Source organism: Homo sapiens, chromosome 16 (assembly GCF_000001405.40).
Source record: "Homo sapiens chromosome 16, GRCh38.p14 Primary Assembly".
Classification (NCBI taxonomy): Eukaryota; Metazoa; Chordata; class Mammalia; order Primates; family Hominidae; genus Homo; species Homo sapiens.
The window spans coordinates 48,080,207-48,095,045 of NC_000016.10; the positions used below are offsets into that span (position 1 = coordinate 48,080,207).

At 46.4% G+C, this 14,839-nt stretch overlaps 1 protein-coding gene across 12 annotated transcripts in view; it reads right to left on the bottom strand.

Annotated features, from left to right (window-relative positions):
• Positions 1-675: 675 nt before the first annotated feature.
• ABCC12 (ATP binding cassette subfamily C member 12) overlaps positions 676-14,839 on the bottom strand; it is a 75,112-nt gene continuing 60,948 nt past the window's right edge. For 3 of the 12 annotated variants that reach the window (NR_171633.1, NM_001393797.1, NM_033226.3), the window contains 7 exons: positions 10,914-11,003; positions 8,339-8,528; positions 7,720-7,879; positions 6,535-6,613; positions 5,387-5,500; positions 3,703-3,867; positions 676-3,595 (listed from right to left, as the gene is read on the bottom strand). Coding sequence is in view for 4 of the 12 variants with exons in the window: in NM_001393797.1 (NP_001380726.1) it covers positions 3,509-3,595; positions 3,703-3,867; positions 5,387-5,500; positions 6,535-6,613; positions 7,720-7,879; positions 8,339-8,528; positions 10,914-11,003 (885 nt within the window). In the remaining 8 variants the exon portion in view is untranslated. Of the gene's footprint in view, positions 3,596-3,702; positions 3,868-5,386; positions 5,501-6,534; positions 6,614-7,719; positions 7,880-8,338; positions 8,529-10,913; positions 11,016-14,839 lie in introns of those variants that run through there. The other 9 variants (NR_171628.1, NR_171629.1, NR_171630.1 and 6 more) reach the window with 7 other exon arrangements.

Below are 14,839 nucleotides of genomic sequence, written 5' to 3' on the forward strand. Positions count from 1 at the left end.
GGAATAAGCTTGGTCCTTGTGCCTTATGGTGGCCCTCCCTGTGGAGTAGGGTATATACCACCACCACTACCCACACTGTTGAACTCAGGAGCAGCCAGGCAATTTGTTTTGCCCATGAAATGTGGATGAAAGTAGCATGTATCACTTCCGATTGCCATGTCTGCCTGCCCTCTACCACAAAACATGATGTTCCTGGCAGAGACTGCTCTGCTCCGCTGGGTCACAGAGTGAAGAGGATAAGCACAGTCACAGCTCACCTGTGATGGATGTGTCACATAAGCAAGAAATAAGCCAGTGTGGTCTGGGGTCTTTTGTTACTGCAGCATAACTGAGTCTACCCAGACCAGTACTCAGGCTTTACAACACAGGCACTGCTCTTTCTCACCAGGAGGATTGCATTTCTAGCAGTGTTGCATGGAATTTAACAGCACATGTTTTATTTTTATTGTATGTATTTCTGTAGTGACGAGGTCTCACTTTGTTGCCCAGGCTGGTCTCATACTCCTGGAGGAGCACACTTTTTAGAGTCAACCTGCCTGGATTCAAATCTCACCAGTGGCTAACCTTGGTCAAGTTACTTTCTTGATGCCTCAGTTTCCTCATCAGTAATATAAGGATAACACTTGTACTGTGTTAGTCTATTCAGGCTGATATAATAAAATATCTTAGACTGAGTAATTTATAAACAACAGAAATTTATTGCTCACAGTTCTGGACGCTGGGAAATCCATGGTCGAGGTGCCAACAGATTTGGTGTTGAGTGAGGGCCCATTCCTCACAGATGATGCCTTCTATGTGTCCTCACATGGAGGAAGGGGTGAACAAGCTTCCCCAAGTCTCTTTTATAAGAGAGCCAATCCTATTCATGAGGTCTCCACCCTCATGACCTAATTAATCACCTCCTAAAGGCCCTACCTCTATACTGTCACACTGAGGATTATGTTTCAACAGGAGGATTTTGGGGGAACACAATGTTCAGATCATAGCAGACACCTACCCCACAGGGATATGTTCAGGATTTAATAACCTAAGCCTGTGCTTTGAGGAATTTGGCTAAATGGCTACTATTATTCTACATAGTCTCCCCTTGGCTGACATGGCAGTGATAGCAAGGGGTTGGGGTGGGAGAGGGGTTTGCTAAGATGGTTTCGTGTCTTATACATGCAAACAGCCAAACCCTCAGAAGTCACTCTCCCCCAGGGATGATACTGATGACCATCACTGTCCTTGCAACAGGCCAAGGGGAAAGGACTGGAGGGGCTTTGTTGTGAAGGGGTTGGGAGCAGGGCCTGTGGAGCCAGACTGGTTAGGGTTCAAGCCCTATCTCTGTCCCTTCCTTCCTGGGCATCTGTAGATAAGTTACTAACCTCAGTGAGCCTCAAATCCCATCTCATGGGGTGAGATGAGGATTCAGTGAAATAATTCATGGAAAAAATGCTTGTCACAGTCCTGGCACACTGCAAGGTCTCAGTAGACATCAGGATCAATGTCGGTGTTCTTCTTCTGCCAGAGTAAACCAAAGCGAGTGTGGGCAGAAAAGGAGTCATAGGAGGTGATTCATCTCTCAATGCATCTGAAGGAGCAGCAGGGATCATTGTAGTCTATCCTCTGTCCTCATGAAAACACCACCTCTTGAAATCACAGACTGATTATCTGGCTGGTGTCCAGTTGGTAGAAAGTAAAGCATCCCTCCCTGACATTGCACAACTGTCATGGATTCCCATGGCCAGCACAGACTGCCCAGTCTGCTTGTCATATTGGGGAAGTTATCTTATGTCCATAAAGGTGATGCCCACACTCAGCTGGGAGCAGCTGCTCAGAACGCTGTGGATGTGGGTTTAATGACCTTCAGTCAGGGTCATGCACCATGGGGGAAAGCTCAGATCAGGCAAAGATACACTGTGTCCCTTCACAGAGAGATCCACACTTGGCCTGGAGCTGCCCACAGAAGGAACCCCCTGGCTCACGTCCTTCTCAGCCACATGTCTTAGTGCACCCTCTGCTGAGGGCAGGATCCATTGCTGCCAAGCTGCTGGGCCAGGGCTTTCATGCAGTTGCCAGGTTATAAGCTCTACCTAAGGCCAGGTGTGCTCACCTCCCCGCTGGTTGGGTAGACCCCTGCCCAGGCCTGGCCGGAGGAGGGCTGGAGAATAATCGGTTGGAGGTTAACCTCACATGCCCAGCCCTTGAATTGCTGGCTGTTGGCTTTTTGGCCAGAAATCCAGATTAAGCTCTTAACATGCACACACACCTGGGAGGGGTGTCCGCCAGGCTCCACAGCTGTGTTTCAGCGAGTTCATTAGATGCTGTCATTCATGGCTGCCACAAGTGTTTCCCGAGTGCTTCCAGGTGCCAGGCACTCCTTCCTCCACGTCTGGGGAAGCAAGTACGTGACCAACACTTACAAGGGAAGTGGGGTGGGGGGTTGTGGTCTGGAAGCTTTGCTGACCACACTGCCCTGAGCTACATTTAGAGCTCAGCCTGGGGCCTGGAAAGCAGGCCCAGGGAACCTCATGGGGCCTTCATTCCTGATGAATGAAAAACAGCCAGAACTCCCAGCGTGCCCCTTGGCGGCTACTACACAAGAGCTTGCTGGATTTTCTATAAATATTTTTTTCCCAAATGTCACCATGAGTTAGCAGCGCTCACTCCTGGGGCTGCTGGGAATACATCTTTACTGCTTCCATCAGAACCAGCCTCCAGGTTGGAGAGAAAGCTTTTTGTTTGGTAAGCGACTGTGAAGGTTCATTACTGAGTGAAGGGAGAAGGCAACAAGGGTCTATTGGAGGAAATAGTATGGAAATTGGAATATCTTCAGTGAAATAATTGCAAGGCGACATTTCAGGGTAATTTCCTACCGCGTTTTAACGACGAATAAAGAAGATATAAAAGTGTCATTTATAGAGAAACTCCAGCATTTTGTTTTCTTGGTTATTCTAACAGATCAATTGAAACATATAATATGATTTTTAAAAAAATTTTTGGCCAAACACTGTATTCAGTCTTTCACGCTACAAATCTGTGTCATTACCACTTGTCACCCAGTCAAGATGGAAGTGAGTGGGGTTAAACGAGAAGAAAATTCTGCTCTTTTTCCTTCTGATAATGGGCAAGGAAACCTTGCAAACTCCATCCTAAGGCATTTTCCCATGTTGTTTATTGTGGCTGATTTCTAACTGAAAGTTACAATATTTTCAATCTCAGGCACTGGGGTGGTTTTGGTGAAAACACATGAGGAACCCTTGGGGATTTGGGAGGTGAAGGGCAGTTTTTTAATCCATTAGCTGGGTCTGCCCCGGTTCACCACCCAGAACCAACCCCAAGCCCACCAAGTGGGGTGACATGGACTGAGTATGGCAGTGGGGACAACTTCAGCCCCAGCTCACTCCGTGGATGGGAGGGGCTGAAGACCAGGGCTGCCTGCGGAGAGGACAGCCCCTCCTCCTGAAGACTCCTCCTATTCATCTCACAGAGCCTCTTCCTCCTCTAGAATCAGCCGCCAGGACCTCTACAATCTGACTTCTGCTGCTAGTAACATCGCAAATGCAGAATCTGGCTTCTCTGCAAGGACTTCAGGCTTGTCAAACTCAATCACCTGAAAGTCAGAGAAGAAGAACTGAAATCATCGGAAAATATCTACCCACTGTAAAGCTCAAACCACTGGACTTTCTGGGGAGGTGAAGCCAAAAGAGCTTCCTATACCTTCCCATTTTCCATAACCAGGACGTGATCGCAGTTGAGAACTGTGTTGAGGCGGTGGGCGATGGTCAGCACAGTGCAGCCCTTGAAGGCATCTTTGATGGTGTTCTGAACCAGGGTGTCAGTCTTGGAGTCCATAGAGGCGGTGGCTTCATCAAGGAGAATGATCTGTGGAGGAGGAAACATTATAAGCCAAAGGCGCACTGAGAGGGGAATTTACAGCCTCGGCTCTATTTACTTTAAAAAAAAGAAGAAGAAGAAAAATAAGACCACAAGATGAAAAGTAATTAGCTAAACATCCATCTCAAAAAAGAAAATGAGAAGAACAAGAGTGAAATAAAAGTCACATCACATCACCTCCATCTTTCCAAAGGAACTTGCTAGAGGGACAAGGTTGTATATCCTTTATTCCTCTTTTTAAGTGGTTTATTCTAACCCTACAAACTCATAGGGAGACAGGCTGCACAGGCTTTATCTACTGTGCTAAACTGAGTCGGCATGAAGCACAGCAGCTCCTACATTCATTCCCTATATTGCTGCCATACCAAACAATCACAAACTTAGAGACTCAGTGTAAATTATCTTCTAGTTCCAGAAGTCAGAAATCCTAAAATCAAGGTATTGTCAGGGCTGCATTCTTTCTGTTTCCTTGCCCTCTCCAGTTTCTGGGCCACTTGCATTCCTTGGCCCACAGCCCCTCCTGGCATCACAGCTCCTTCTCTCTTTGACTCTTCTGCCTCCTCCTTGGAAAGCCCCATATGAATATGCTCAGCACACCCAGATCTAGGATCATCTCCCCATCTCAAGATCCTTAATCGCAACTGCAGAGTCCCTTTTGCCAGGTAAGTTAATATATTAAAAGTCTCGGAGGAACATGTTCGCAGGTTCCAAAAATCAGGACATTAACATCTTTGGGGAGGTGGGGGTATTATTCCGCTGATCACAGGACGGATTTGATTTAGCAAATCAGAGCACTTGAACTTAACCCCTGACTCTGCTTGACTGGCCAAGTTACTTAACTTCCCCGAGGCTCTGTTCCCTCGTAGGTGAAAGGGGGCTATGCCTTATTGATGAGCTGGATATGGAGACTACACTTAAACCACTTAGCAGCATGCAGTGCCACGGCAGGCATCAGATCCACGCCGGCCCCTCTCCCCTGACATTAGCACATCTAGAGAATACACACAATGGGTCACATCTTTGATGAGGCTTCAGAGACTGGCATTACTAAAGCAACAGCAATCCCTTCCTGGAAATCAGTAAGTAAGGGTGGCTAAGTTACAAAGAAAAATAAGTATAAATTCTACAATTCCCATATCCTAGCATTCTGATGGCCCTCTTGAGCATCCTGGGGACAGTGTATCCAGATTCAGAATTGTTCAGAGACAATGGGAGAAAGTTGGGAGACAGATTTTTCAAACTCAAACCACTTAGGCAAGCAGAGTGAAAATCTAAGCGAGACCTCCCCAGGGGAAGCCTGGGAGGGGAAGGTGCTCTTGCTGTAAATGGCTGTTACTTTTCAATTTTTATCCCTCACAACTTTGTCTTAAGAAAAAGTGATCGGTTTTTAAATGGCTCAATTGCTGTCTCTTTGCTGAAAGACATACACGTGGCTCTGCCTCCTGGATTGAGTGGCGCTGCGGGAAATATCCAAAATTTGACCAATCCATTTTCCGTGTTTTCTTACCTTTGAATTACGGAGAAGAGCTCGGGCCACACAAAGCAGCTGACGTTCCCCTACTGAGAAGTTTTCTCCATTTTCTGTGACTTCTGCCTGTAATTTTTCTGGGAGTTTCATTATCTACAAAACACAAAAAATGCCACATTTGTGCTGATGATCTATAAAATTGTCCTATGCTGTCTGTATTGATTGCCCCCTTCTCTTGCATTCATCAGCTTGCTTTATTTTACTGTGGCAAAGAAAGTGCAAAACAACAATCATTTCAATATTGCAAACAGGCACCAGGGAAAGACCAGGGAGTAGACGGACATTAATAATTTAAAATCACAGTATGACTCATAGAACCCCATAGACAATTCACCAAAAGAACAAATGATGCAGATGCAGTCCCAGAGAGCAAACAAACAAGTGGAAACAGCTTTCTGGATTGCTGTTTCCAGGGACCAAATAGAGATGGGATGGGAGAGTTTTCTGGACATTAAGGAAGGGTAAGACAGGGTCTGACTTATCCAGAGTGACAAGCCAAAGTGGCCTTGGAAGATGCTCATGTCGGTACCAAGTCCTGGAAAAATATCACGTTGGGCTGCAGAGGTGTCCATGCTCACCTGCTGACCCCAGCTGGGGCTGTAGCTCTTATAGGACAGGGTTCCCTCTCACAGATGGTTCGGTCCTCTCCAACCAGCCATACTTGCCATTCCCAGAACATTCCACACCCTTCTGTTTTCTGTGGCTTGTCTGTTCTGATAGCAAATGAGGCCACTGGCAGAGTAGCAGGGCCTTCCATCTGCTCTACAGCCAGACAGGCTTGAGTTCAAGTCTCCATCCTGCTACTCACTAGCCTGGGCATGTTACTTCCCTGAGCTTTAATTTCTTCATCTCTAAAATTAGGGGTAAGAGTACCAACCTCAGAGCATTGTAGTAAGGACCAAGTGAGATGATACATGTAGTGCTCTTGACTGGATCATTGTAGAGCCCTATTGTTGCTTTTAATAGGAAAGAATAACTAAGGATTATGTTCTACTGACTTACGTGGTGTCTACAAATAAACCTGGCTAAGTGCTGGCCTAGGTGCTTGTCAAATTTAAACATAGGCCAGGAATCTAGGGCAGTGGTGCTGGGAAACAAACTCCTCCTCAACAGCCCCAGAGACCTACTGTGTCTCTCATGAATGTTCTCTCCAGAACCTGCCAGAGCATCTCATCGGTGTGACTCTCAAAGGGATCCAAGTTGTACCTGCAATGAAGGAGAGGAGAGGACAGGGAGCCAGATTTCCAAGGACGAGAGGATGGATGCGGAGCAGGTTTTCTGTAGCATGTGGAGGAGGGTAGGAGGTGGCATGTGATGACCTCGTGCTCCAAGAATAGTGCTCAGTACAGGACAGTGGTCCACAAAATATGGACCTCAGGCCACGAGACCAAGGGCCCACAACTCTGCAATGGAGCAGAGACCACTGAGGCAGGCAATGACAGGTGGAACCCTGCCGAGAGGCAGCTCTGAGCAAGGTGCTCAGAAAGACACACCTGGGCCTCTCAGCAGCCCCGAGTAGCAGAGTGGGTTTGAACTGATAAAAATTCTTGGCAGAGAAAGAGGGAGAGTGAGCAACCCAAATCTGCCACTCCATGTATCGGCAGCTCCTAGGGCCTCACAGGGTGCTGAGCAGCTCAGACGCAGAATGTAAATCTACTGTTTCAAGAGGCAGAATGCATTTTTCAAACAATGAACTCTAAATACAGTAAATACAGTTACCCTACTTCATCTGGTGCTGTATGGGAGAAATGTTCCTCTCATCACAGAGAGAGCTAACTGAGAAACTGCCTTTCCCCTTGTGCCTTGATATCAGATCTGGAGCCCCACAGAAGCTGCAGCCCTACTGTTCTTGTGCTTGAAATAGCTTCTGTTCACTTAGGTGTGGAAATAAATGAATGCACTTTGCAATGGATAGCTGTATACACGGGGTAACTATTTATTTTATTGTGCAAACTGGGACACTTTTCAGAGTGGCCATTGTTAAACCTGATGGGATACTGGGACACAGGCATAAACTAGGGCTGTCCAGAGCCACTGGAATATCTGCTCAGTGTATGAATGAATACAGAAGCATCTTGCTCATTAATAATGTGTTTATAAAACACAAGTAATGCTCAGACCCCGGGCCCTGGCTCCTCCCAAGGCTGGATGCAGAAACAGGGACCAGCAGTGCTTGTGAGCCCCCCTGGGATACTGCTTCCCTCAGACAGAACAGCTCCAGGCCAGCCATGCCCTGGGGACATCACAAAGTTCTTGGTCAGTCTGATTTCACTCTCCAAAAATAGAAATGCACAATGATTAAAAACAGCTACCTTACTGTACCTACAAACAGGACAGGATCCTGTGGGATCACAGTCAGCTTGGTTCTGAGGTCTTCCAAGCTGAGAATGCAGATATCCACCTCATCAATAAAGATTGTGCCACTGGCTGGCTCCACCAGACGAAACAAAGCCATTCCTAACGATGACTTTCCTGGGAACCATAAAAGTAAGAACAACAAATCAAACATCAGTTTGTGCTTCCATCATATCCAAGCATTTAATCAGTGGGATTTTTAATGCAATGCAAATGTCTCCGTAAGGATGACAGTGTAGACAGAAAGTGTCCTCACCAGGGTGGGGGTGGAGGGATGGGCTACCCTGACACAGTTAACCTGCCCATCCTTGCAGGGGCCCTTAGCACACAACTCATCTCTGGAGCCCTGTTGCACTAGGATGATTGTCATTTAATTAATTCAAAAACTGATGTGTTTGCTTCCATCTCTACACACCCATTCAACCTGAAATCCTAATTTACAGTAAAGAGATTTGAGGGAAATAACAGCCAATCTGACACACATACACATCACTCTCTGGTGTGACTTAACTAGGACATCCAGTGGAAATCCAAAGAAAACAACCCAAAAGAAACAAAAGCAGAGCTTGTCCTCACCGGAACCTGTTCTTCCAACAATCCCGACTGTCTGCCCACTTTGTATGTTCAAGTTCAGGCTGTCGAGAACAAGGGGGGTGTTGTCTCTGTATCTCATCTGATAGTCTCTGAAGGTGATCTCCCCACGGCTGGGCCAGTCCTTGGGACAGGTCCCCACTTTGAGGGGATGAGTGCATTCAGGAACACAGGTCTGTAAAGGAGAATAACCAATGACCAGTGACTAGCCATTTGTTTTTTCACTTATTTAACTAATTCATTCATTGATTCACACAGTTTCAGGTACTGCTATTCATGGTGGTGAAATAAACCAATAATGACCCTTAATTCTAGAAACTCACATTCCAGTGGGGATGTCAGATAATAAACAAGAAAAAAAATTAAAAATGAAGACAATAAAACAGAATATTGCAATAGGATACAGAATGTGATTTGTGTGTTGGGAAAGGGGGGTAGGAGAGTAAAAGTACTTGAGGTTTCAGGAAGGCACCTATGTGACATTGGACCTGAGGGCTGGAGTGCTGGGAGGATGTCAGCTACAAGAGAATCAAGTCCAGAGCCCTCCAGGTTGGGGGAATAGCTAGCACAAAGGCCCTGGGGCCAGAATGAGCTTGGGCAATTTGAGGGACGGAAAGAAAAGTCATGTGGCTGGAGCTTAGCGAATAGAGGGATGGATGACTTAGAGGAATACACAAGGGGAAGCTCATACTGGGCCTGTGGGCCTGGGAAAATGTCAGAAGTGTAGCCCTGAAGCTGTGTGACAAGGCCAGACATAGCCTTGAGTTTGCAGAACTCAACCAGATATAATTTCAAAATCTGCAAGAATCATCATTATACTAGAAGAAGAAAGATGATAAGAATGCAGGATGTCAAGTTCAGAGGTCTTTAGACATACATGAAAAAAAAAACATTTAAGTCTCCTAAGAGTCCAAGAAATGCAAGGTCTAATTAAGGAGTAGAGCAGCTTGGCTTCATCACAAGAGCAGCCCCTCCTCTTAAGTCACCTCTGTGTAAACAGCTGGAAATAGGGATCCCGTGTGCCCCATCAGGATGGCGGACCAGCCCAAATCTCTGGTCAATAAGCAACCTCATTTAGCTGAGAAAATACCTGTATTGTTAAGGACTGAGTATTTTTAACCCCTAGAAGATTTAGAATTAGGAATAAAAATATTTTAGAGAAATGAAACTGTAACAGTAATATTTTTAGTTTAAGAAATCTGCACACTTGGTGTTTCAAGTATTCACAATATATTAACAGAACTTGGGCTTGTGACTCTAATTTAAAATGCATAATTGAATAATTGATTTAAACACGATTTTAAGTTAAAAGTTTACTGTTTATAGCATTGATACTGTCATGAAAACTTAAAGCTTACTATGTTTATAAGTTTAATTAATTAAATTTGTACAAACTCAAGAAGGTTTGTTGTTAAATCAGATCATTGAGGTACTTAAAAAGAAATTGAATGTATTAAATTTTAAAATGCAGTTTAAAATGTTTTAAAATCTTTAAGTTTGTAAATGGAGCCAAACACTCTTCAAAGGCACCTAAATGTGATTGCTAGAATTGGCTAGACTTCTTTTAAAAGAATAGCAAGATTTGTAAGTTGGATATAAAAGCTTTTAAAGAAGAGTTAGACTGAGCTTCTATTTTTCAACTTATGACTTCAATCAAATAATAATTTTTAACTTAAAAAAATTTTAGAGTCAGGGTCTAGCTCTGTTGCACAGGCTGGAGTGCAATGGCATCATCACAGCTTACTGCAGCCTCAAACTCCTGGGCTCAAGTGACCCTACCTCCTTAACCTTCTCAGTAGCTAGGACTATAGGTGCATGCCACCACACGTGGCAAATTTGAACTTTTTTTTTTTTTTTTTTTTTTGGTAGAGACAGGGTCTCACTGTGCTGCACAGGCTGGTCTCAAACTCCTGGCTTCAAGCATTCCTCCTGCCTCGGTCTCCAAAAGTGTTGAGATTACAGGTGTGAGCCACTGAGCCTGGCAAAATATTAATTTTTAGAAACCAAAGTAAGCCACTGAATTGTATTTTTCTGTGTATCAAAACAGCCCTTAAGGAAACCTTGTTAAAAAGAACCTCACATTCAACAACAAGAACTTCAGAATGTATTGTAAATACAGGTTTTAAGAAGAGGGATGACTCGTCCGATTTGGGGTTTTTTGTCGTTGCTATTGTTTTTGATTTTTGAGATGGAGTTTTACTCTTGTTGTCCTGGCTGGAGGGCAATGGCACGATCTCGATTCACTGAAACCTCCGCCTCCTGGGCTCTAGTCTCCCGAGTAGCTGGGATTACCACCGCTCGCCACCATGCCTGGCTAATTTTTGTATTTTTAGTGGAGACAGGGTTTCACCATGTTGGCCAGGCTGGTCTCAAACTCTTGACCTCAGGTGATCTGCCCGCCTCGGCCTCCCAAAGTGCTGGGATTATAGGCGTAAGCCACCACGCCCGGCCCGATTTCCGTTTTTTAAAAAGACCCCTTTCGCATCTAAAAAGATCCAGTATTTGCCCAAGTCCTGCCAAAATTAACTTGTCCCTCCTCTCTGATGCACTAATTTCTTACCGAAATGTATTCCCTGAGCAGCTCCACGGAGGTGAATTTGGCTTGCGTCTCTGTTCCCGTTCGCACACACACTTGGAGCAGTCCGCTCAGCTGTTGAAAAGGAGCGAGCAGCCGCAGTTAGAGCCCCTTCCTCCTTCGGGTTCTGCAGCTCCCCGTTCAGGAGGCAGTCCTAGTGAATGATCCCTCCCCTGCCTAGCGCAAGACAGCACAAACAGGAGGCCTGCCTTCCCAGCCAAGCGCCCAGAAGTAAAGATATTCCTGTTCGGGTGTTTTGCCTTTAAACACTTCCTTTGTATTTAGAAACAAATGGTAATTACATTTTTCCCTGGCACTCCAGATGGTGAGAATCATCTCCCCACAGAACCACTTGATCACACGCCTCTTTGAGTGGTGGGAATTCTCCCTGGGAGCTGCAGAACTGCTGGCTATCGGCCCCTTGCTGCCACCTGGCAGGGTCTTGCATCTCAGAGCAGCCCTCCCCTAGCCCCTTGCTCAAAAAACAACTGAAAACCACATCACCATGAGACCAGAAAACCATCAAGCCTGTCTTCTTGTTATAGTAATGAGAAAGTCAAGGCTCAGACTGGGGCATGTGGCTTGCTAAGGTCACCCACCTTAGGCCTGGATCTCCCAAAAGCCAACCCCAAGATTTGACTGCAAGAAGTATATTAGGGCAGGTTGAATGGTGTCCCTACCCCTAAAAGATGTGTCCATTTCCTAATCCCTGGAACCTGCGAATGCTCTCTCATTTGGAGAGAGGATCTTTGCAGGTGTTAGCAAGGATCTTGATATCATCCTGGATCACCTGGGTGGGTCCTAAGTCCAGTGATAAGTGTCATTATAAGAGACAGAGGAGAAGTCACCGAGGAGAAGGGGACGTGAAGGCAGAGGCAGAGACTGGAGTGATGCAGCTACAAGACAAGAGATGCCAGGGATGGCCAGCAGCCACAGAAGCTGGAAGAGAGAAGAAAGATTCTCCCGAGCCTCCGGAGGGAAGCTGGCCCTGCCAACACCTTGAGTGCGGGCATCTGACTCCACAACAGTGAAAGAAAACCTTTCTCTTGTTTGAAGCCTGCAAGCATGTAATTTGTCACAGCAGCCTTCACAAACAAACATAGGCGGTGAACCCAGATTGTACCAGGAGGGGATGGAGGAGTGAGCAGGGGAAGAGAGGCCACCCATACCAGGTGTGTCTGTGAGATGTTACCGCTGTGGGCAACTGAGAGTCCGGCTGGTCTTGGAGCTCTGGGACACTGAATGGAGCACACCTCGGAACTGTCCCGTGCTGGGGCAAGGAAGCCAGGGTACACAGGGCTACAGAGCCACTAACTCCCTCAGTCATTGCTGCACTTGCTTCTGGGTGTGAGAATGCCCGGAACCTCCAGCCTGCCCTGGAAGGGTGGGGCAGCCACAGCATTTGTCACCAAGTGGGCTAGAGGCAGGGCCATCTCATGCATTAGCGAACTTCATTGACTGAGCAGTAGCCATGGGCCAGGTACTGGTTGGGGTGCCGGTTTCCAGAGTTGAAGGTTATAGACAAGATCCCTGCACTCAAGCAGCTTCCATTCTAGTGGACTGGCAGGGATGGTGCACAAGGCCACTGCGGGAGTGACAAGAATGTCCCAAAAGCAGGTTGATGTGGGAGAGGGGCCGGGGCTGGAGAGTTACCTTAGATAGGGGTTTCCAGAGGACTGTGCGAGCTGAGGCATTTATGATAAGAAGTCCACCAGTCAAACTCAGGATAAGAATGCTCTAGTAAGAAGCAAGCGGTCTTAGCAGCAAAGAGGCAGGGGGTGCGAGCAGGCGCGTGACGTGGAGAACGCTATGGGTGCAGACCCTCTGAGAGCCCCTCAGCAGGCCTCCCTGCTTAATACAGTTCAGCAGTTTCCACTTCTTTAGAGCAATGGCTCTCAACCTGCCCTACAGAGGACATTTGGCCATGTCTAGAGACAGATTGGGTTGTCACAACCTGGCGGGAGGGACGTAATACCAGCGTCTCATGAGCAGAGCCAGGGAGGCTGCTGAACATCCTACCACGCACAGAACAGCCCCTCACCAGAAGGATTATCCAGCCCCAAAGCCCACAGTGCCATGGTTGAGAAACCCAGTCTTGGAATACAGGTAATACCCCGCCCCTGGCTTACAAAGCTCTATGTATTCTACTCTGCCGGCACCTCATACCACCTTGCTCAAGCCATGTGGGCTTCTCAGATCCTCAAACATGCCAGGATCATGCCTACCGCTGAGCCTTTCCCTGAGGCACTCTTTCTTCCAGTCTTCCTTGGCTGGTTCTTTATCCTTCAGGTCTCAGCTTGGAAGCCACCTCCCAGCAGAGGCCTCCTCTGGCTGTTGTATGAAATGCTGCTTCCCCTTCCGACAGCCACATTCCTCCACTCGTTGTCTTCCTAACATTTAAACACCTTCTGAGCTTCTCATCTATTTACTTGGCCCTCATTTATTCCAGCTGCCCACTAGAATGAGGGCAGGACTTGTCCAGACTGCTGACTGCTGATTCCACAGCCACTAGCACAGTTCCTGGCTCATGGTGGGTGCTCAGGGGATATCTGGCAAATGAATGAATGAACCCTGCCCTTGAGAAGGGCATATACATCTTTTGCTAAATGCAAGAGTATCAGCTCCCAAGGCCACGGCAGCCCTCCCAGGTTTAGGATGCCCACAAAGGCACAGTGCTGGCCCCAGGAAGTGCTTATTCTCCTACGTGATGTGATATGATGTCACTTTGCATTCACTTTCTGCTCTGTGGGATTTCATGCCAATTTCTCATCCATCTGGGGAGTCTTCTCTAATCTCAAGTGGAGTGCTGTCATTTTGATTCTGTGTTCTCCAAAGGGGGCTAATGCTCAATGAAGCCACAGAGCCAGCTGGAGAACAAGTGTTCCCATAGATCTCAATGCTGTGCACAACCTTACAGGAATGTTTGAAAACAATCTCATGGAAAGCTGATAATATCGCCCAAAAGCATGACCTTAGTTGGGGAAAGCTGTTTTACTTGGACCAATTAAGGGAAACTGTTCAACATCATCTGTTTGATATTTTACTAGGCAACAACAAATGAAGACATCTATCAATACAGGAAACTGGTTACCCAAGGAAAATTCATTTTTCCCCACTTAAGAGAGAGTACAGAGAATACATTTTTGTTTCCTTTCTTCCCAAAATACAATTTAAATTATATCAGAGAAATTTTCCATAAAGAATAGACCTTTAACAGTAAGGGGATTGAGAAGAGATAGCAGTGAATAAGCTACAAATTTCTGCAAGATGGAAAGAGGACGAAAGCCTTTTGATAAAATGGAAGCAGAGCATGCTAGAGTTTAAAGAGCAGAACCCAGAGAGGCTCCAGGTGTGAGAAGGGGGCCCACAAAGAGGCTGGCTGATAGGCTCTGTATATAGACAACCACTCCTGTCTGGTTCACTCACTCCTCTTCCCCTCTTCTTTCTCCTAACCAGAGTTAGTTGGACCCTTTATCCCTAGGCATGGGAGCACACATGCACATGGACACACACACATAAACATGATTTTCTCTAAAGAAATTGAATTAACTGCCTAGGGATAAATTGGGCTCTCTGAATAGTCCCCTGCATAAAAACTCCTTTAAGTCTTGCATTTGGGTACCTAAAAGCCAGCTCCCTGGCTGCTTTCCTGAAGTGAAGCCAGCCTATGGAAAAGCCCCACCACCCACCTACCTGCAGTCATAAAATTTCCCATCAGGAGACACCTAGCAAGGTGAAACAAAGGCAGAGGAAACTCTGAAAACCCAACCCAGTTCCCCGGAGTTAAATACTAATGGGTCAGGAGACAGATGGACAAAACCAATGGCATGAAAGAGCAAGAACGAGAGAAACAAAAAGAAAAACTACCTCTGGAAGAAACAGATAGATGCAAGTCAAAGAAGGGAGGAGAG